The sequence below is a fragment of the Homo sapiens genome, chromosome 2 (genome assembly GCF_000001405.40).
Source record: "Homo sapiens chromosome 2, GRCh38.p14 Primary Assembly".
Classification (NCBI taxonomy): Eukaryota; Metazoa; Chordata; class Mammalia; order Primates; family Hominidae; genus Homo; species Homo sapiens.
Window position 1 is genome coordinate 171,244,303 of NC_000002.12, and position 20,858 is coordinate 171,265,160.

The 20,858-nt window shown below is 42.3% G+C and overlaps 1 long non-coding RNA gene across 1 annotated transcript, besides 1 other annotated feature; it reads right to left on the minus strand.

The window, feature by feature from the left end:
• Positions 1 to 1,200: an enhancer, noted in NCBI's record as "P300/CBP strongly-dependent group 1 enhancer chr2:172100813-172102012 (GRCh37/hg19 assembly coordinates)". NCBI's record gives its function as "activates an origin of replication core promoter dependent on BRD2, BRD4, P300/CBP, MED14 and CDK7 cofactors, with strong dependence on P300/CBP, by STARR-seq in HCT116 cells {active_cell/tissue: HCT116}" and the evidence as "EXISTENCE:reporter gene assay evidence [ECO:0000049][PMID:35650434]".
• Positions 331 to 20,618, minus strand: LOC107983995 (uncharacterized). The gene is made up of 3 exons (XR_923576.2): positions 20,532 to 20,618; positions 19,733 to 19,779; positions 331 to 705 (listed from the first exon to the last, which is right to left on the minus strand). It is a non-coding gene; the product is annotated as an uncharacterized LOC107983995 (long non-coding RNA).
• Positions 20,619 to 20,858: the final 240 nt, after the last annotated feature.

Below are 20,858 nucleotides of genomic sequence, written 5' to 3' on the forward strand. Positions count from 1 at the left end.
GGGTGGCCTTAGATAGATTTAGGTTGGGGACTGGTCCCCAGAAAGACCAAACATGGGATCAGAGGGTTGAACATTTAACCCCACCCTCCAACCTCCCGGGAGGGGAGAAAGGCTGGAGATTGAGCTCAATCACCAATGGCCAATGATTTGATCAAACACACCTACAAAACAAAGCTTTGATAAATACTCTTGAACAGTGAAATTTAGAGAGCTTCTGGGTTGGTAACATTGATGTGGTGGGAGAGTGGCACCGTGGAAGAGGACATGGAAGTGTGACTGTAACAGGTTCCTTACCTAAAGCATGGCAAGTGGACACACTGACCTCAAGGATTGCAGCAGAGAAAGGGTTTAATAATCATAGGGCATCTGAACAAGGAGATGGAAGGAAACCTCAGATTTGCCTCCCTGAGGAGTTTGTAAGGGGTTTGGAGTGGGCTGAGGTGTGGGGATTGCAGGGTGAAGTCATGGACTGGAGAGATGAAGAAACTGCATTCTCATGTTGATTCAGCTCTTCTGTGGGGATTGCAGGGTGAAGTCATGGACTGGAGAGATGAAGAAACTGCATTCTCATGTTGATTCAGCTCTTCTGTGGGGATCCTCAAACTGGTTGTGGATGTCAGCTGTTCTGCTGGAATTCAGGATCTGAAGAACATCTTAAGCAACTCTTAAACAAAAGCCTCATGATTCCAACATCCGAAATCCCATCTATAGAAACAATGTGGATGCAAATGGTCAGTATCCAGTGCTATGTGACTTTCAGTTACAAGTAAGTAGGCCAAAATGCAGCCTATAATTAAGCCTCATGCTTAATTATAACTATATTTCTGTCCAGAACCTGGCATGAAATTCTTGTCAACTCTGTGATTGAAACCTCCTTTGCAAAGATTATGACAGTGAGAGAAATCTAACATGGCTGACTCCATCTTGCTTCTAGTCTCACAGGCTGGCTGTCTTTGCTCATTCCTGGGGATAGGCCAAGGTAACTGCGAGGAATATAGTTCATAGTTTAAAGCAAGAATGAGAAGAGTCCCTCCCTGAAACTGATCCCTTGTTTGTTCAGGGACTGAAACTGCCTTTGTAATGGGAGGGGCCTGACTTCTGCCAAAATGCAGGCATAATTTCTCTAATCTCTTACTGCTCAGGAGTCATGTGGCCAGAGGTCACAAATCTTGTGACTTCCCCAATTGCTCCTGTAGGAAACATCCCTGTTGTGGAACCTAAGATTGGTCTTTTGAGATGTTTTTCAGACTTTTGCATTCAGGCAACTGATTAATTCCAACTGGACTGGTGACTTATGACTCAACCAATCCTGTAGCCCCACCCAGAGGCAGACTCAGCACATAGGGACTGTTTTCCACACTCTTATGCTTTTATTCCCCAACCAATCAGCAGCACCCATTCCTTAGCCCCTGCCTGCCAAACTATCCATAAAAACCCTAGCCCCTGAGTTCTTGGAGAGATTGATTTGAGTGATAACATCCGTCCTTCTGCTTGGCTGTCTTGGGTTAATTAAGCTCTTTCTTTACTGCAATACCATGGTCTCAGTGAATTGTTTTGTCTGTGCCGCAAGCTGGAAGCACCCGTTGGGTGATTGTACAAGGACAGTTTCAGAAGCTCTCCACTTCCTTTCTCCCGCAGCCTTGCCCTATGCATCTCTTACATGTGGCTGTTCCTGAGTTGCATCCTTTATAATAAACCAGTAATCACAAGCAAGGTGCTTCCCTCAGTTCTGCAATTTGTTCTAACAAATTATCAAACATGAGGGAGGGTGATGCGAACCCCCAAATTTGCAGCCAAATAGGATAGAAGTGTGAGTAGCCTAGAAACCCAGGAATTCTACCTGGCATCTGAAGTGGGGGCAGTCTTGTGGGACCATGACTTTAACCTGTGGGGTTTGCACTAACTCTGGGTAGTTAGCATCAGAGTTGAATGGAATTGAAGAACACCCAGTTGGTGGGAGATAACTGGTGAATGGATGTTGGAACAATGTGTTGGAAAAGACACTGTAACCACCCAATGGTTTCACTTTGCCCACTGCCTAGACAGAGCTGATTTCTAAAGACAGGGGCATTGTAACAGAGAAAGTGTAATTCACACAGAGCCGGCTGTGTGGGAGACCAGAGTTTTATTATTACTCAAATCAGTCTTCCTGAGCATTTGGGTATTCGGGGATCAGAGTTTTTAAGGACAACTTAGTGGACGGGGGGAAGCCAGTGAGCTGGGAGTGCTGATTGGTGAAGTCAGAGATGAAATCTTAGGGAGTTGAAGCTGTCTTCTTGTGCTGAGTCAGTTCCTGGTGAGGAGGGGGCACAAGATCAAATGAGCCAGTTTATCGAACTGGGTGGTGCCAGCTGATCCATCAAGTGCAGAGTCTGCAAAATATCTCAGGCAGTGATCTTAGGAGCAGTTCAGGGAAAGTCAGAATCTTGTAGCCTCCAGATGCATGACTCCTAAATCATAATTTCTAATCTTGTGACTAATTTCTTAGTCCTACAAAGGCGGTCTAGTCCCCAGGCAAGAAGGAGGTTTGTTTTGGGAAAGGGCTGTTATCATCTTTGTTTTAAACTATAAATTAAGTTCCTCCCAAAGTTAGTTCAGCCCATGTCCAGGAATGGACAAGGACAGCTTGGAGGTTAGAAGGAAGATGGAGTCAATTAGGTTAGATCTCTTTTGCTATCTCAGTCATAATTTTGCAAAGGCAGTTTCAACACCACACATTTGGTGTCAGAAAAAACCCACACATGGATATATGCAAGGTTAGGATCAATTTTTCCCCAGTTGGTTAGATGATGCCACATTGTAGCACTTGTCACACTATGTTGAACTGCTTGTTTCCTTGTCTGTCTGTTCTATTAGACTGTGAGCACATGGAAGACTAACATGGGCCTTAATGCAACTTCATTCACATACCAGGGGGAAATCCAGGTTCTGCAGGCCTGAAGCTTACATAGTTTGGGGAAGGAAGGATTTTTCAAAAGAATACAAAATTAGGTATGAAGAAATCACAACCAATTACAAGTATAAAAAGCTAATAAACACAACATCTATGAAAATGAAATGTTTTTCTTTATTAACTGCCTGACACATCTCTATATTTTTCCTACTTTTTTGGCTTGTCTTCTTCGATTACCTCTTTCTTTTTCTTTTCTTCCTATTTTTTTTTTTTTTTCTGAGACAGAGTTTCACTCTTGTTGCCCAGGCTGGAGTGCAATGGCTTGGTCTCAGCTCACTGCAACCTCTGCTTTCTGAGTTCAAGTGATTCTCCTGCCTCAGCCTCCCAAGTAGCTGGGATTACAGGTGTGCACCACCACACCCAGATAATTTTGCATTTTAAATACAGACGGGGTTTCACCATGTTGGTCATGCTGGTCTCGAACTCTTGACCTCAGGCGATCCACCCGCCTCATCCTCCCAAAGTCCTGGGATTACAGGCATGAGCCGCTGGGCCCAGCCTTCGATTACCTCTTTCATATGACAATAATTTATAAGATCATTTCCTATATTGAATAGAAAGGTCGTTCATGCTTTTCTCTAGCATGGTTGATCAACATGTTTTCTAATATTTCCTAGAAAAGCTTATTTCAGTTCCCCAATTCATTATTGCTAAGTCATGTAAATTTTTACAAATGCTATCAAATTTTGGAAACCTCTACCAAGTGTCTTACATAGATGGGTTATAACATTTCAGGGCATTTCAAATTATGACACAGTGACTAAACTTAACTGTTCTTTGTATTGACCATACTCCTATTAACCAGTGTATCATCAATGCCCTGCACCATCAGGTCACAACATCAGATGACTTGTCATGTTGAAGAGTACAAGTATTCCTACCAGCCATTCCTAAGCTGGGATGGCCAGCATAGCTTAACTATTTACAGAAATGGCTGCCCAAACACATAAACGTATCCCACTAAAGCCCAAATAAATGTATTCCTAGCCCAAATTACCTTAGAGGAATCTCAAAATGACTGTGAATCTCCAATGCCACTAGACACAAGGGAGAACTGAAGTAAAGAGGAAGTCAAAGTGGAAAGAGATAGTAATCTTAATCAATTGTGGTTAGAGTATCTTACCTCTGCAAATTTTGCAAAAACATATGACCACATAAATATATCGCTAGGTGCCTTCTTGGAAGAGGCACATGACACTGAGGGTCTTTGAAGCTGAAGCTTTACTGGCTTCATGTCAGATTCCTGCCTGCCTCACACAGTACTGGTCACAAAACAGGTACTTTACAAGTATTTGCAGAGTGCACGAATGAGAGTTCATCTGTGTGCAGTCTGTCGAACGGCAGTAATGATAGCATGGGCAGGGAAGGAGTGAGTAAGTGCTTTGAGTCCATTACCCTAAGTCAGGGACTGCCTGTGTCCTTTCCTTTTAAAATTTGTTCCAATGTAGTAGAAGAAATACAAGGTTCCTCTGGTTAAAAACAGTGAAATGATTAAATCTTTACAGCTCTGAAAATAACTTTTGCAGCACATACCTCATAGTCTGTCCTTGCTGCCTAAAAGCAAAGAGAGCTGGCAAATCCACTGGGTAATAAGGAGGCCTCCAACCTCCCTGCCGCCTTCATTTTGAATATCCACCCCCCAACTCCGCCACCCCGCAAGTCACTTTGCCTCAATACCCTGACAAGCATCTTGATCATTTGGGGGCATTCTTTAGAAACTTTGATATGAAAAGGCCTTTCTCATCTTCAGATCAGTGCTTAAGTTCTACATTCATCAAATACAAAAGTGAAAAGAAGCTTTTAAAAATGTCATTGGCACTCACAGGCACCATCAGGAGAATGCTTGCACAAACTGTTTAGGGAATATTTCTGATAATAAGAAGCAACATTTCCAAAATTTGAAAGAATAACTTTAAGAGTACATATAAAAACACATTCCATTCTAATAATTTGGGCTACTGATATCCTACCTAAAAAACAAGCTATTTGCTAATTTCACAGAGTATGGTAGAGGTCAACATTGCTGTGTGTCTTATTTTTCTCTTATAGTTTCAGTTCTGAGTTGTGCCCCAAGTTGGAAATTATGGGAAAAGTGTTGTGACTTAGCTGGGAGTCAGAAGTGAGCCTCAGAGTTGGCTAGCAGAAGCAAATTTCACAAAGTTTGAGAAAACTAAGTTCATAGAAATAGGTTATAGAATGGATAAGGGGTCACAGATAGGAGTGCCAGAAACACACCCAGGGTAGACGCCAATTGTGTTGGATTTATATTTGCAGTTTCTCCAATATTAGGTAGTCCCCCACCCAACTAAAAATTCCACATAAGAGATATTTATTATTCTTGGGGTACTACTCAGCATCTGAAACTTCTTCCTATGTTTGGGGAATCCTACTTTATGAGTCTTAGTGGGAAAAAGTGCCTACTTCCCACTTCAGAAGCAGAAAATGCCAGATCTTCATTTCCCAGCTCCCTTACTGGAAGGTGGTGTTATACAATGTGGGCAAAGCCAATTAGAAATATCTGCCTTCGACTTTGAACCAGTGACACAGGACATAGATACTGCAGAGAATCCTGTTGTTTTTTTTTTCTTCTTAAATCAGCCAGAAGTAGTTTCTGTCATGTGTAACTTGTGACCAAATTATAGCTTCTGACACCTTGGTCACAAGTAAAATGCTATTTTAGGGGGCCTGAAGGGCACTTTGAAATCCTGAGTAGTTCCCTTTAAGGATTCAAATATGACTTTGGGCTGCATTTTAAATTTTAGGCTGGGTGCAGTACCTCATGCCTATAATTCTAGCACTTTGGGAATGAGGTGGGAGGATGGCTTGAGCCCAGAAGTTCAAGACCAGCCTGGGCATCAAAACAAACTCTGTCTCAACTTAAAAAAAAAAAAAGCCATGTGTGTTGGTGTGGGCCTGTGGTCCCAGCTACTCAGGAGGCTGAAGCAGGAGGATAGATTGGGCCCAGGAGTTGGAGACCTCAGTGAGCTATGACTGCACCACCACACTCCAGTCTGAGTGACAGAGCAAGATCTTGTCGACATCTGTTGGGATCATTGATCTTCTTAGTAACAGTGAAACTGGAGCAAGTATTAGGAATCTAATTTTACAGCTTAGGAAAATGAGGCACAGAGAGCCAAAGTGCCCTGTCCAGGTGACAAAACTCATTTAATGGCAAAGCTAGGGATCTTGATATCCAGTCCTGTGATCTTTCTCTTCTTGCCTTCATAAATCTTTTTTTTTTTTTTTTTGGAGATGGAGTCTCACTGTTGTCACCCAGGCTGGAGTCAGTGGCTCGATCTTGGCTCACTGCAACCTCTGCCTCCCAGGTTCAATAGATTCTCCCGGCTCAGCCTCCCGAGTAACCGGGATTACAGCTGCCCACCACCATTCCTAGCTAATTTTTGTATTTTTAGTAGAGATGGGGTTTCACCATGTTGGCCAGGCTGGTCTCAAACTCTTGATCTCAGGTGATCTACCTGCCTTGGCCTCCCAAAGTGCTGGGATTACAGGCGGTGAGCCACCACGCGCAGCCTCCATTGTAAATCTTTATCATGCAGGCAAAAGAAAAGCAGAGAGAAAGATGCATGATCAGAACTCAATTCATATAAAGATCAGAAAGGTCGGCCGGGCGCAGTGGCTCACACCTGTAATTCCAGCACTTTGGGAGGCCGAGGAGGGCGGATCACGAGGTCAGGAAATCGAGACCATCCTGGCTAATATGGTGAAACCCCGTTTCTACTAAAAATACAAAAAAATTAGCCGGACGTCGTGGCGGGCACCTGTAGTCCAGGCTACTCGGGAGGCTGAGGCAGGAGAATGGCGTGAACCCGGGAGGCAGAGCTTGCAGTGAGCGGAGATCCCACCACTGCACTCCAGGCTGGGCGACAGAGAGAGACTCCGTCTCAAAAAAAAAAAGGCTCAGAAAGGTCATCAAAATGACCTGATGCAGCTTCCAAATCTCAAAAACAGGACCTGGAAGCAGCAGAAAAAGGCTTTTGAGTCCCGTGCTTTTTTACTGCTAAAGAGACAAACCAAGAGATTCCTCCTTCTTCTATCAGCCAGCTTAGAGTGTGACCAATTGTGAGGGGCAGTGAAAAGATAATCACTCATCACTTTTTCTCTGTTTAAGAATGACCTGTGTGAGGTTATTTTAAGAGGAGAAATTACTGCTAAAATCACAGAGAGTCGTAATCAGTCATAATTTTACTTTCTCTGGTAAAATTCCCAAAGGAGATATTTGTACTGAATAACACACTTAAAACAAACCTGTTGTGCAGAATCCATTTCAGATTCCTCATAATGCTTCTGCTTCATATAAGAATTCAGCTCTGTACAGAGTAACCTGAACAATCATCACTCCCAGGATATCAAACCCCAAACAGTAATGTGCATTTAATGAGAACTTCAAGGAACGTTTCTTAATTTGGAAGAGGTGCTGTCTATAGGCAATGATGGTAGTTATTACAGGCAACCACTGAGAGTTCAGCTGTTGTGTTAAAAATAAAAGGTCGAATTCAGTCTTGGAGTTTCTCACAGATTATGTTCTATTCGCATCGACAAATAACAAAATGCTTTGGAAAGTTATTCTTTTGTGTACGCTATTTTAATTCCAATCTTTATCTAGATTTGGTTAAAAAAATGTTTGGTTGATCACTTATGTCCTTTATTACCCAGGCGCAGACAATGGATCGCAGATTGAGCTCAGTGCAGAGTGAATATCTGGTTGTTTGTGGAAGACTGGGGAGTAAGTCTAGCCAAAAGGAAAGGTCCACTTTTTTTCTTTCTAATAAGCTTATTATTTTAAATCAGTTTTTGATTTACAGAATTTTTGTAAAGATAGTACAGAGAGTTCTTGTATGCCCCAATTGCTAACATCTTACATTAGAATAGTACATTTGCTACAATTAATGAACCAATATTGATGCTATTATCAACAGAAGTCCAGAGTTCATTCAGATTTCCTCAGTTTTTTTCCTAATGTCCTTTTTCTATTCCAGAATCCCGTCCAGGACAGCACATTACGCTTAGCTGTCATGTCTCCTTGGCTGTAACAGTTCCTCAGTCTTTCCTCGTTTGTGAGGACCATTTGAGGAGTACTGGTCAGGCATTTTGTGGGATGTTCTTCAACTGAGATTTGTGTAAAGTTTTTCTCATGATTATATAAGGTTATGGGTTTTGGGGAGGAGGACCACAGAGGCAAAATGCCGCTTTCTTCATATCATATCAATGGTACATACTATTAACATGACTTATTACTGTTTATGTTTGGGAGCCCCCTTTTTCCTCTCAATCTCAGGGACCTTCTTCCAGGTCCCCAAATAACACTGACTTCTCTCTCTTTGTGTGTACGTTTTTTGTTTTGTTTTGTTTTGAGACAGAGTCTCGTTCTGTCACCCAGGCTGGAGTGCAGTGGTGCGATCACAACTCACTGCAACCTCCACCTCCCGGGCCCAAGCGATCCACCTACCTCAGCCTCTTGAGTAGCTGGGACTACAGGTGCATGTGCCACCACACTTGACTAATTTTTTTCTTTCTTTCTTTTTTTCTTTTTTTGAGACGAAGTCTTGCTCTTGCTGTTGAGGCTGGAGTGCGATGGCACAATCTCAGCTCACTGCAACCTCCGCCTCCTGGCTTCAAGCAATTCTCCTGCCTCAGCCTCCCAGGTAGCTGGGACTACAGGTGTGCACCACTATGCCTGGCTCATTTTTTTGTATTTTTAGTAGAGGCAGGGTTTCACCATGTTGGCCAGGCTGGTCTCAAACTCCTGACTTCAGGTGATCTGCCCACCTCGGCCTCCCAAAGTGCTGGGATTACAGGCGTGAGCCATCAAGCCCAGCCACTTGACTAATTTTTGTATTTTTTATAGAGATGGGGTTTTGCCAGGTTGCTCAGGCTGGTCTTGAACTCCTGGGCTCAAGCAATCCACATACCTTAGCCTCCCAAAGAGCTGGGATTATAGGCGTGAACCACCATGCCCAGCCTTTGCTTTCTCTTTTGATTGATTATTGTAATTTTGAAAGTGAAATTGGGGATCAAATATTCAAAGGTGGAGAGAATTCTACAAATTATAAACATAACCAAAGAGAAGCCTCCTTGTCTACCTCAGCCTCTGCCTTCTCATTGCTGCCCTGAAAAATCGAATCATCTCAGACTGATGAGACTCTTTTCACATCAGAATATAAACCAGGTGATACTGTCAGTAAAGGACAGGAGGAATTGCCAGTTGTGTCAATCATATTGTCCAGTACATTTCTAGACAGCTTTGCTTTGGCTAAATATAGTTGTAATGCATTTCTGTTGCTAAGCACCATATTTTTATTAGCCAAGGTACTCTATTTGAAAATGCAAACAGAGCCTGGGTCTTGTAATGAAGTGCCTGGGTAAAAAGGGACAGAGTCTAAATGTCATTGACTTTGGTAAGTGCGAACTTCCAGAATGGTGTGGTACAGTTTCCTAAATCCACCTTACAAAAGAGTCCAGGGAATGACCTGCTTTCATCTTGCAGCCTACTTCATTTTATTGCCATGTCTATGTGTCTTATTTCACATATCTTTCCCGTCAGTTACAGAAAGACTGAGCTACAGCTATGGCCGCTGAGCTGTATCTATCCACAGTCATGTGGTTCAGGTGACAACGAAACAAATAGCTCACTCAGATGAACATTGGCTCTCCAGAGCAAGGTAATCTATAGGAGAGGAACAAAAACTATATATTTCAAATCTTTCCTTGTGAGGAGATTCTGGGGTTATATCAGACAGTTCAAGGAGCCTATGAGTTGCTAAAAATTGCAGCAGGTGACCCATGGAGGTTTATGTAAAAAATTCTTCTCTGGCAGTTGAAGAAAAGCAGAATGAGTGTTTGCCTTTCTCAGTGGCTTAAGAATAACCTTCTCCCAAAACAGGCATAGACTAAATGTATTAGTCAGGGTTCTTAGCTGCAAATCAGAAGCCAACAGTAGGTCATTTAAGCAGAAAAGGCATGTTTTTGCAGAAGTCAGCAAATGTGACCTGGCATTTATTTTTGTATGGCCCACAAGCTAACAATAATTTTTACATAATTAAATAGTTGGACAAAGAACATTTTAAAAGATGGATATTCATGACCCATGAAAAGTATATGAAATTCACATTTCAGTATCCATAAATAAAATGTTATTGGAGCACAGTCACACTCGCTTGCTTAAGTACTGTCTCTTGTTGCTTTCATGCTATAGTGGCAGGATTGAGTAACTACAATGAAGATTCTCATATATGGCCTACGAAGCCTAAAATATTTATTAATGTCTTAGTTGGCTAAGGCTTATTTATTATAAGCTTATTTATTAATGGCTTATTTATTATAAGGCTTATTTATTAATGGCTTAGTTGGCTTAGTAGTCTATGTTATTAATAAAATAACATAGACTAGGTGGCTTAAACAACAGAAATATATATTTTTCACAGTTCTGGAGACTGGAAGTATAAGATCAAGATGTCAGCATAGTTGGTTTCTGGTGAGGGCTCTCTCCTTGGGTTGCAGATGACTGCCTTTCTGCTGTGCCCTGCACAGCAAAGACAGAGAGAGATAGCAAACTCTGTTGTTTCTTCTTATAAGGGCACTAATTCCATCATAAGGGCCCCACCCTCATAACCTCATCTAAACCAAATTGCCTACCAAAGGCCCCATCCTCAAATACCATCAAATTAGAGTTAGAGTGTCAACATATGAATTTTGGGCAGACTCAGCTCAGTCCATAGCAACTAGCTAACCCTTTACAGAAAAAGTTTGCCAATTCTTGTATTAAAGAATATTAGGACACATGCAGACTCTTCAAGGGGACCAGAAAACTAGTCTCAGAGGAAACAGAGCCAGGAAATTCATAAAATTACACTTCACACTGCTGATTCAGGAAGACTTCACTTGTACCACCCAAGGTCCTGCTAATACTCCCAACATCAGGCACTGGACAGGACTGTAGGAGCCTTGGCATTGCCGCCTCTGTAAACTGGAATGTCGCTTTTCCACCTTACCAGAATGGATTCAGCCAGCGCCTGCTACTTGTATACAAGCTTTGGATTCTGGTACTGGTGGATCTGATAGATGAATCCCAGATCACGTGTGTGTGTTACAGCTACAAAGGAGGCTGGAACAATGAGTGTCTGGCTTTTGCAGTGATGGGGTGGGAACCCATAATGTGGGGAATTCCCTAAATATGTAGCGATACTCTCTAATAGCAAGTCACAGTGTTAAAATAACTTGTTCCTACATTGTTTCCCTTCCACTATTTTCCCTGAGAATTGTTATCGTAACTGCCTTGAATGAACACTTGCTCTCTTTGGGAAGTATAGCCATGTGGCATCCCAATATTGAACAAGCCTTCCTGGGTCAAGAGACTGTTCTTGATAAAATGGGCAAAAGCCAGACTTAGTGATTAGGAACCTCCCTGCAGTGGCATGACATGGTTGGGGCATGGAGAATGATGCCCCAAAGTATAAAGCTTCAGCTTGCTGAGCACTTTTGAATTAAAAGAAATTGGAAAGCCTTAGAAGCTAGAAGCTGCCTCAGAACCAAGGACTTTCTAACCTTCTCTTGTCTCCTCCCCTCAAGTGCAGGGAGAGGCTCTCTCTGGATATTCCCTTATCTGAGGAAAACTTCTTCCAAAAGAAATGTAATTGTCAGGCCTGGCGCGGTGGCTCATGCCTGTAATCCCAGCACTTTGGGAGGCTGAGGCGGGCAGATCATGAGGTCAGGAGTTCGAGACCAGCCTGGCCAACATGGTGAAACTGCATCTCTACTAAAAATACAAAAATTAGCTGGGCGTGGTGCTGTGTACCTGTAATCCTAGCTACTCAGGAGGCTGAGGCAGGAGAATCACTTGAACCCAGGAGGTGGAGGTTGCAGTGAGCCAAGATCGCACAACTGCACTCCAGCCTGGGTGACAGAGGAAGACGCTGTCTCAAAAAAAAAAAAAAAAAAAAAAAAAAAATGCAATTGTCCTAAGACCAGAAAAGATGAACCACTAGAGAAGAGAAAAGACTAAAAGTCATCATGCCCACACAGACTCTTCATCTATTCTTCTGAGGGCACTCTGAGAGAATACCTGGGAGACTTTATCTATGTAATAAGACAACCTTTGTTCACAGTGAAGTTCCACCCCTCATCTTCCTGCCACCTCCCCCAGAGCTCAGAGGAACTTTGTCCCAAGCCATTGTCTGTTTTTTGGACTCATTCATTTCCCTTGAAAATAACTTCTGCCCTTCATAACTGCCTACATTTCCCATTTCTCTCTTCCCTATGAAATTGGTGCTATCTAAGCTTCAGCTACCGGGCCTTTGAGTCTCATATTTGTGGGACTACCATGTCCACGTGCATGTTAATGAACTTGTATGCTTTTTCTCCTGTCAATCTGTCTATTGTCTGTTTATTTTGGCAGGATGACTCAATTATTGAACCTTCAGAGGGAAAGTTTAAATTTTCCTACAATATATTTGCTGTGTCTCCCTCTTTCTCTTGCTAAATTCCCTTCTCCAGAGATGTGCTCTTAACAGTCTTTCCCACTTTGAATTTTGAATTTGCCTCCTCTCTCTGGAATTGAACATACTTTCATTTTTTTTTAAATACTATCTTGGCCGGGTGCAGTGGCTCACGCCTGTAATCCCAGCACTTTGGGAGTCTGAGGTGGGCGGATCTCAAGGTCAAGAGATCGAGACCATCCTGGCTAACATGGTGAAACCCCATCTCTACTAAAAATACAAAAAATTAGCTGGGCATGGTGGCGGGTGCCTATAGTCCCAGATACTTGGGAGGCTGAGGCAAGAGAATCACTTGAACCGGGGAGGCAGAAGTTGCAGTGAGCCGAGATCGCACCACTGCATTCCAGCCTGGGGCGACAGAGCGCGACTCTGTCTCAAAAAAAAAAAAATGTGTGTGTGTGTGTGTGTGTGTGTGTGTGTGTGTGTGTGTGACACAAGATCTCATCTCACTTTATCACCCAGGCTGGAGTGCAGTGGTGTGATCTTGGCTCACTGCAACCTCTGCTTCCCAGGCTCAAGTGATCCTCCTACCCAAGCCTCCTGAGTAGCTGGGATTACAGGCGTGAACCACCATGCCTAGCTAATTTTTGTTGTTGTTGTTTTGTTTTGTTTTTGAGACGGAGTTTCGCTCTTGTTGCCCAGGCTGGAGTACAATGGTGTGATCTCGGCTCACTACAACCTCTGCCTCCCAGGTTCAAGCGATTCTCCTGCCTCAGCCTCCTGAGTAGCTGGGATTACAGGCGTGCACCACCAAGCCCAGCTAATTTTGTATTTTTAGTAGACACAGGTTTTCTCTATGTTGGCCAGGCTGGTCGCAAACTCCCAACCTCAGGTGATCCACCCGCCTCGGCCTCCCAAAGTGCTGGGATTAGAGGGGTGAGCCACCGCGCCCAGCCAATGTCCTGCTAATTTTTGTATTTTTTGTAGAGACAGGGTCTCATCATGTTGCCCAGGCTGGTCTTAAACTCCTGAGCTCAAGTGATCTGCCTGCCTCAGCTTCCCGAAGTCATCCTATTTGCTGTCAAATACTAGATCTTATTCATTCTTTCAATTTTTTAATACACATTAATCATCCCCACTTGCCCCCTACTCCTCCAAACTACCCTTCCCAGCCTCTGGGAACCATCATTCTATTCTCTATTTCCATGAGTTCAATTGTTTTAATTTTTAGCTCCAAAAACAACCACCTCATGAATCTTAAAAGCAAGATGCAAAATGTTCAATGTTTCCGAATAATTTAATTGCATCCCAGAACAAAGATCAGGTATATTTATAAGAATACAAAAATATCCTGCACCCAATAGATTAAAATTCACAATATTATGCATTAAAAAAACTCGCCAGGCATGCAAAGAAACAGGAAAATATAACCAATAAGGAAGAGGAAAATAAACTAGTTGAAACTGATAAAAAAAACTAACACAGATATAGGAATTAGTAACAAGGATATTAAAATAGTAGTTATTATTATATTCCAGATATTTGAAAAGTTAAGGAGAGACAGGAACTATTTTAAAACCATAAATCAGATTTCTAGAGATAAAAACTATAATATCTGAGATTAAAATTACACTGATGAGATTAATGGCAAAAGAAAAGATTAGTGAATCTGAAGACATAGCAATAGAACTGATCCAAAAATAAAACACAAAGAGAAAAGAGAATTAAAAACAAGAATGAAAAGAGCATCAGTGAGCTGTAGGAAAACTTTAAGCAGTTTGATTTATATGTAATTGTTGTCCCTAAAGTAGCGGGAGGGACAGAAAAGCTATTCAAAGGAATAATAGCTGAAAATTTTCTGGTTTTGATGAAAACTAAAAACCTACAGGTCCAAGAAAGTCAATAAATCCTAAGCACAAAAATATGAAGAAAATGAGTACACTAAGGCACATCAGAATCAAACTGCTCAAAATTAGTGATGAAGAGATAATACTAAAAGTAGCCAGAGAAGAAAAGACACATTATATACAGAAGACCAAAGATAAGGATGACAGAAGACTCCTCATAGGAAACAATGATACAGGTGATAAGACAGTGGAGCAACATCTTTAAGCTACTGAAGGAAAAAACAAACTGTTACCTAGAAATTTATACCCAGCAAAAATATTTTTTAAAGATGAAGGTGGAATAAATACTTTTTCAGACATACCAAAGCCGGAATAATTTATCACTAACAGATCTGCAATATAAGAAATGTTAAAGGAAATCCTTCAGGCAGAAGGAAAATAACACCTGATGGAAATATGATTATACAGAAAATTCAGAGCAACAAAAATGATAACTACATGGACAAATACGTAAGACTTTTTCTCTTATAATTTGAATATCTTTAAAATATATTGACTGTTTAAACAAAAATAATAACAATGTGTTGTGGGGATTACAACATATGCATAAAGAAAACAGTAGCCTAAGTGCTGGGAGGGAAAAGTGGAGTTATGTAATTATAAAATTCTGTGGCCTGGCGCCGTGGCTCACGCCTGTAATCTAACACTTTGGGAGGCTGAGACAGGCGGATCACTTGAGGTCATCAGTTCAAGACCAGCCTGTCCAACATGGTGAAACCCCATCTCTACTAAAAATACAAAAATGAGCCGGGTGTGGTGGTGGGTGCCTGTAGTCCCAGTTACTTGGGAGGCTGGAGCAGAAGAATCATCTCTACTAAAAATACAAAAATTAGCTGGCCATGATGGCATGTGCCTGAAATCTCAGCTACTCGGGAGGCTGAGGCATGAGAATTGCTTGTACCCAGGACGTAGAGGTTGCAGTGAGCTGAGATGGTGCCACTGCACTCCAGCCTGGCAATAGAGTGAGACTCCATCTCCAAAAGAAAAAGGAAAAAGGACTGGTGCGGTGGCTCACACCTGTAATACCAGCACTTTGGGAGGCCGAAACAGGAGGATCACGAGGTCAGGAGTTCAAGACCACCCTGGCCAACATAGTGAAACCCCATCTCTACTAAAAATACAAAAAATCAGCCGGGTGTGGTGGCAGGTGCCTGTAATCCCAGCTACTTTGGAGACTGAGGCAGGAGAATCGCTTGAACCCGGGAGGTGGAGGTTGCAGTGAGTGGAGATTGCGCCACTGCATTCCAGCTTGGGCAACAGTGCAAGACTCCATCTCAAAAAAAAAGAAGAAAAAAAAAAGAACAAAAGGCTCAATAATAAGAAAACAACACAATTAAAAAAATAAGCAAAAGAATCAAACAAACATGGGTGACAAATAAGCATATGAAGCATATAAGAAGATGCTCAGCATCATTAGTCATTAGGAAAATGCAAATTAAAACCATAACTACTGAATGGCTAAAATTAAAAAGACTGACCATACCAGGTGTTGGTGAGGAGGTAGAGGAACTTGAACTCTTATACCTTGCTGGGGAAAGTATAAAACAGTACAACCACTCTGGAAAACAGTTTGTCAGTTTCTTAGAAAGTTAAACATAAACCTACCATTTTATCCAGCCATTCACTCTTAGGTATAAGAGAAAAAACATGCATCTATATAGAATTATGCATAAATGTTCATAGAATCTTCATTGGTAATAGCCCCAAACTGGAAACAACCCAAATGTCCATGTACAGGTGAAACAAACCGGTATATCCAGCTGATGGGATACTACCCAGCAATAAAAAGAAATGAACAATTGATACATTCAACAACATGGATGAATCCGCAAATAATTAATGCTGAGCAAAAGAGGCCAGACCAGAAAAAGAGTATGCACTGTATGAGTTCATTTATATAACATGCTAGGAAACGCAAACTAACGTATAGTGACAGAAAGCAGATTAGTGGTTTCCTGGTGGATGAGGAGATGTGAAAGAACAGGAAGAAAGTGTTACAAAAGCAAAGAAACTTTTTGAGGTATTTTCACTATATTAATTGTGGTTATGGTTTCATAGTTGCATATGTGAAAGGAAGATAAAATCATGGAACCCCAAATTCACGATGCCAAAAGGGAAAAGTTAAGCTTGGAAGCTGAGTCATGAAAAAAAACCCCAAAACTGCCTTTATCTTTGTTCCTAAACTGATAGCTACAGATAGAAGGCCACAGGGGGCCTCCCTCACCTTGACAATGTAAATGAACAGCTTATCTTCATGGACTTGGGGGTGGAGGAGTGAGGGGAAAGAGGAGATTCGAAATCCCCTTCCATCCTGAGCTGAATGCATGTTTGACTGCTTTTCTACTCTATGTTTACTTCACCTTATGTAAAAGAGCAGATTTACTGAGTGTGAGTCAAATACATAATTGATTTTTCCCCTACCCCTTCCTTTTCATGCACATGTGACTTCACAAGAATGTGACCATGCCCTTCCTCTTTTTTTTCTTTCCCCTTTCCCCTCCTGCCTACTTTTCCCCTTTAAAATTGAAGCCCCCAAAATTCTCTGCAGAAAAAATAAGGGCCACAGATCCTGCTGTGGCTTGTGTCTCTTTTTCCTGGGTGTGTATTCAACCTCAGCAAAATAAACCTCTAAACTGATTGAGACCTGTCTCAGATACTTTTTGGTTTACATATATGTATGTCAAAACCTATCGAGTTGTACATTTCAACTATATGTTATTTATTGTAAGTCAGTTATACCCCAATAAAGCTGTAGAAACATAAATATTAGTTATTTTTAAAAATCAGTGCTAGGGGCCAGGCACGGTGGCTCACGCCTGTAATCCTAGCACTTTGGGAGTCCAAGGCGGGCGGATCACCTGAGGTCAGGAGTTCGAGACCAGCCTGGGCAACATGGTAAAACCCCGTCTCTACTAAAAGCACAAAAATTAGCCAGGCTTGGTGGCATGTGCCTGTAATCCCAGCTACTCGGGAGTCTGAGGCAGGAGAATCACTTGAACCCAGGAGGCGGAGGCTGCAGTGAGCTGAGATTGTGCCACTGCACTCCAGCCTGGGAAAGGAGAGCAAAACTCCATCTCCAAAACAAATCAGTGTTAGACTTTACCACACTCTGGCCTTATGACTCTTTGAAGCTGAGATTCTTTTAGTCATCAACATGGTTCTGGCCTAGGAACTAGTAGTTCTTCTGTGGAGTTAGAGAGCAGATAAAGGCCTGTTCTTCTACAGACAAGTTCTTTGCAAGCCATCCAAGGTGATGGAAAGGAGGTGGGGGCCACAGAGTTGAGCTTTTTTCTTTCTTCCAGGAAGAAATTAAAGACCCTTGGGGTTTTTCAATCACAATTCTCTTGACCTACTTGAGTCACTATGGGGCAGGATGCTTTGTTTCATTTCATAGAAACAAAGAGTGAGCATAAATTCTAAACAAAGTAATGTATTTGTAGATGGTCTTGTCTCTTGACGCAGATATAAAGCCTATCTTCTGAGAGAGGACAAAGAGATTAGTATGTGCCTTGCTTAAGAACAATAGACAAATGTTACAGCCTGTTAACTCCATCTGCTTCCCAAAAGAAGAAAGAATTTTTACAATGAAGTGTCAGAGGGTCTTCAGGCCCCATACGGGAGATTTTCCCAAGGGAAGCCCATAACAACCTTCCTGTGTATTTAAGCCAATATGTTCCAGCTCCTAGAGTGGGGCTCCTTGTCCTTAATTGTGGAATAAAAAGCTTTGTCTTATTGAAAGAATTTGAGGCATAGGGAGAAGGGGAAGTATTTTGGTTGGTGGGGAGGGAAGTCACAAGGTTGCATGCTTTCCTGGCTACGATGGAATCATTTGTGTAGTGAAGAAACTGAATCATCCAAAGGAAAGTATCGTCAGCTACCATATTCCAGAAATCATTTGCTTTCCTGAGGCACTGGGTGACTGAAGCAGATACATTGCAGGCACATGCCTGTAAGAGCCAAGGAATTCAACTTTTTTTTTTTTTTTCTTTGAGACAGAGTCTCGCACTTTCACCCAGGCTGGAGTGCAGTGGCGCGATCTCGGCTCACTCCAAGCTCCACCTCCCGGGTTCACGCCATTCTCCTGCCTCAGCCTCCTGAGTAGCTGGGACTACAGGCACCTGCCACCGCGCCTGGCTAATTTTTTGTATTTTTGGTAGAGATGGGGTTTCATTGTGTTAGCCAGCATGGTCTCGATCTCCTGACCTCGTGATCTGCCCACCTCGGCCTCCCAAAATGCTGGGATTACAGGCGTGAGCCACTGCACCTGGTTGGAATTCAACTTTTTTTTTTTTTTTTTTTTTTGAGTCAGAATCTCGCTCTGTCCCTCAGGTTGGAGTGCAGTGGTGTGATCTCAGCTCACTGCAGCCTCCACCTCTCGGGTTCCAAGCGATTCTCATGTCTCAGTCTCCTGAGTAGCTAGGGTTACAGGCACCTACCACCACACCCAGCTAAATTTTGTATTTTTAGTAGAGATGGGGTTTCTCCATGCCAGGAATTCAACTTTGTTTTTGTTTTTGTTTTTTTGAGATGGAGTTTCACTCTTGTTGCCCAGGCTGGAGTGCAATGGCACGATCTCAGCTCACCACAACCTCTACCTCCTGGGTTCAAGTGATTCTCCTGCCTCAGCCTCCCGAGTAGCTGAGATTACAGGCATGCACCACCATGCCCGGCTAATTTTTTTTTTTTAGTAGAGACGAGGTTTCTCAATGTTGGTCAGGCTGGGCTCGAACTGCCGACCTCAGGTGATCTGCCTGCCTCAGCCTGCCAAAGTGCTGGGATTACAGACATGAGCTACCATGCCCGGCCAGGAATTCAACTTTGGAGGCCCCATTTCTCCATTCTTTCTTTTCTGGGTTTGTGGGGCTATATTTCCCTTTCCTCTCTTCCTAATATAACTTTCCATACCTCAGCTGCCTCCCTGGCGCCAGGGCTGCCATCCCAGCAGGCCAAGAGGCAGACCGCTCTGCAGCGTGATGTGTTTTTTATGTTTCTGGCCATCTTTCTAGTCTTCTGCACAAGTGGAGTGTGTGAGGGGAACCCCTGCAGGAGAGTTACTGAGGACTACAGACTCTACTTCTGGCAGGTTGCCCTGCTGGGGAATCAGGCATTGGTCTCAGTCAGCTGGATGGGGCTGGGATCTATTTTCTATTTCCAGGTTCCCAGCGCGCATGTTCTTGTTTCCTGATGGTGCAACACTGAGGCTCAGCTATATGGCCGGGGAGATCTGTGAAATAAATGTGGGCATTTCATGTCATGTCTGGAAATTCCTGTGGAACTCTGGAGAGTGCCCCCAAAGTGAATAAAAATCAACATAGTCCTCTAATAATGTAATCTGTCCTCATAGGAAGCACTTCAGAGAATATTTTCAAACAAAGGTAAGATCTGAATAAAGTGAAAAGTGCTACTTTTATGCCCATTACCTGATGGACTGCTCACCAGTTCCAGAAGTCCTCCAACTATGGGAACACTGTCATGAGAACATGAAAATAAACCATACTGATTAATCTTGAATGAAACCTAACTCTTAAGTTTTGACTCCTCCCCCTCAAAAAGTACCTAGTGAATCTGTTTGAACAAAAATGAAATCAAAATTTAATTTGAGAAACAAATATATAAACATGAAAAAGTTTAGGCAAGAAAGGGCAATACAGGCCGGGCACAGTGGCTTATGTCTGTAATCCCAACAATTTGGGAGGCTGAGGCAGGAGGATCACTTGACCCCAGGAGTTTGAGACCAGCCTGGGCAGCATAACAAGACCTCCATCTCTACAAAAATTAAAAATTAAAAAAAAAAAAGAAAGAAAGAGGAATATGATGAAATAATTCCTCATCTAATCTCTGTCCCCTATTCCCTTGTTTCTCTCCAGGAAGTATTGTTAACAATTACTTAAGTATCTATACATGGCACTGGCATAGACATTACACACACACACACACACACACACACACACACACACAGGTGGTATGTGTATACATGTATGTATATATGTATATATCACATATCCTTTTTATTATTGTGAATGTCTTTATACATACAAGAGAATCTATTGTATAAGTGATGAACAAAGATTATGACCAACATGAACATTGTTGAATGTCATGGTCCTAGAAACAGAGGACATGGGCAAACTGAGAAGAGTTTAATAAAATGACTATTTACAAAATTGCAGGCAGGTTTAGAGAAATCAATAAAGGATAGTGCAGTACTCAGACACTTACCCAGATTTTGTGGGACCTAATGAATATTCAGTTTTTAGAAACTTCTTTAAGAAAAAGCATGTACTTCTTTAAGAAAAAAATGCAAAATTATGACACAAAAGTAGGTGCAAGAATAAAATTAAATAGCTGGAGACCGGGCGCCATGGCTCACGCCTGTAATCCCAGCACTTTAGGAGGCCGAGGCGGGCGGATCACGAGATCAGGAGATCGAGACCATCCTGGCTAACACAGTGAAACCCCGTCTCTACTAAAAATACAAACAATTAGCCAGGCGTAGTGGTGGGCGTCCGTGGTCCCAGCTACTCAGGAGGCTGAGGCAGGAAAATG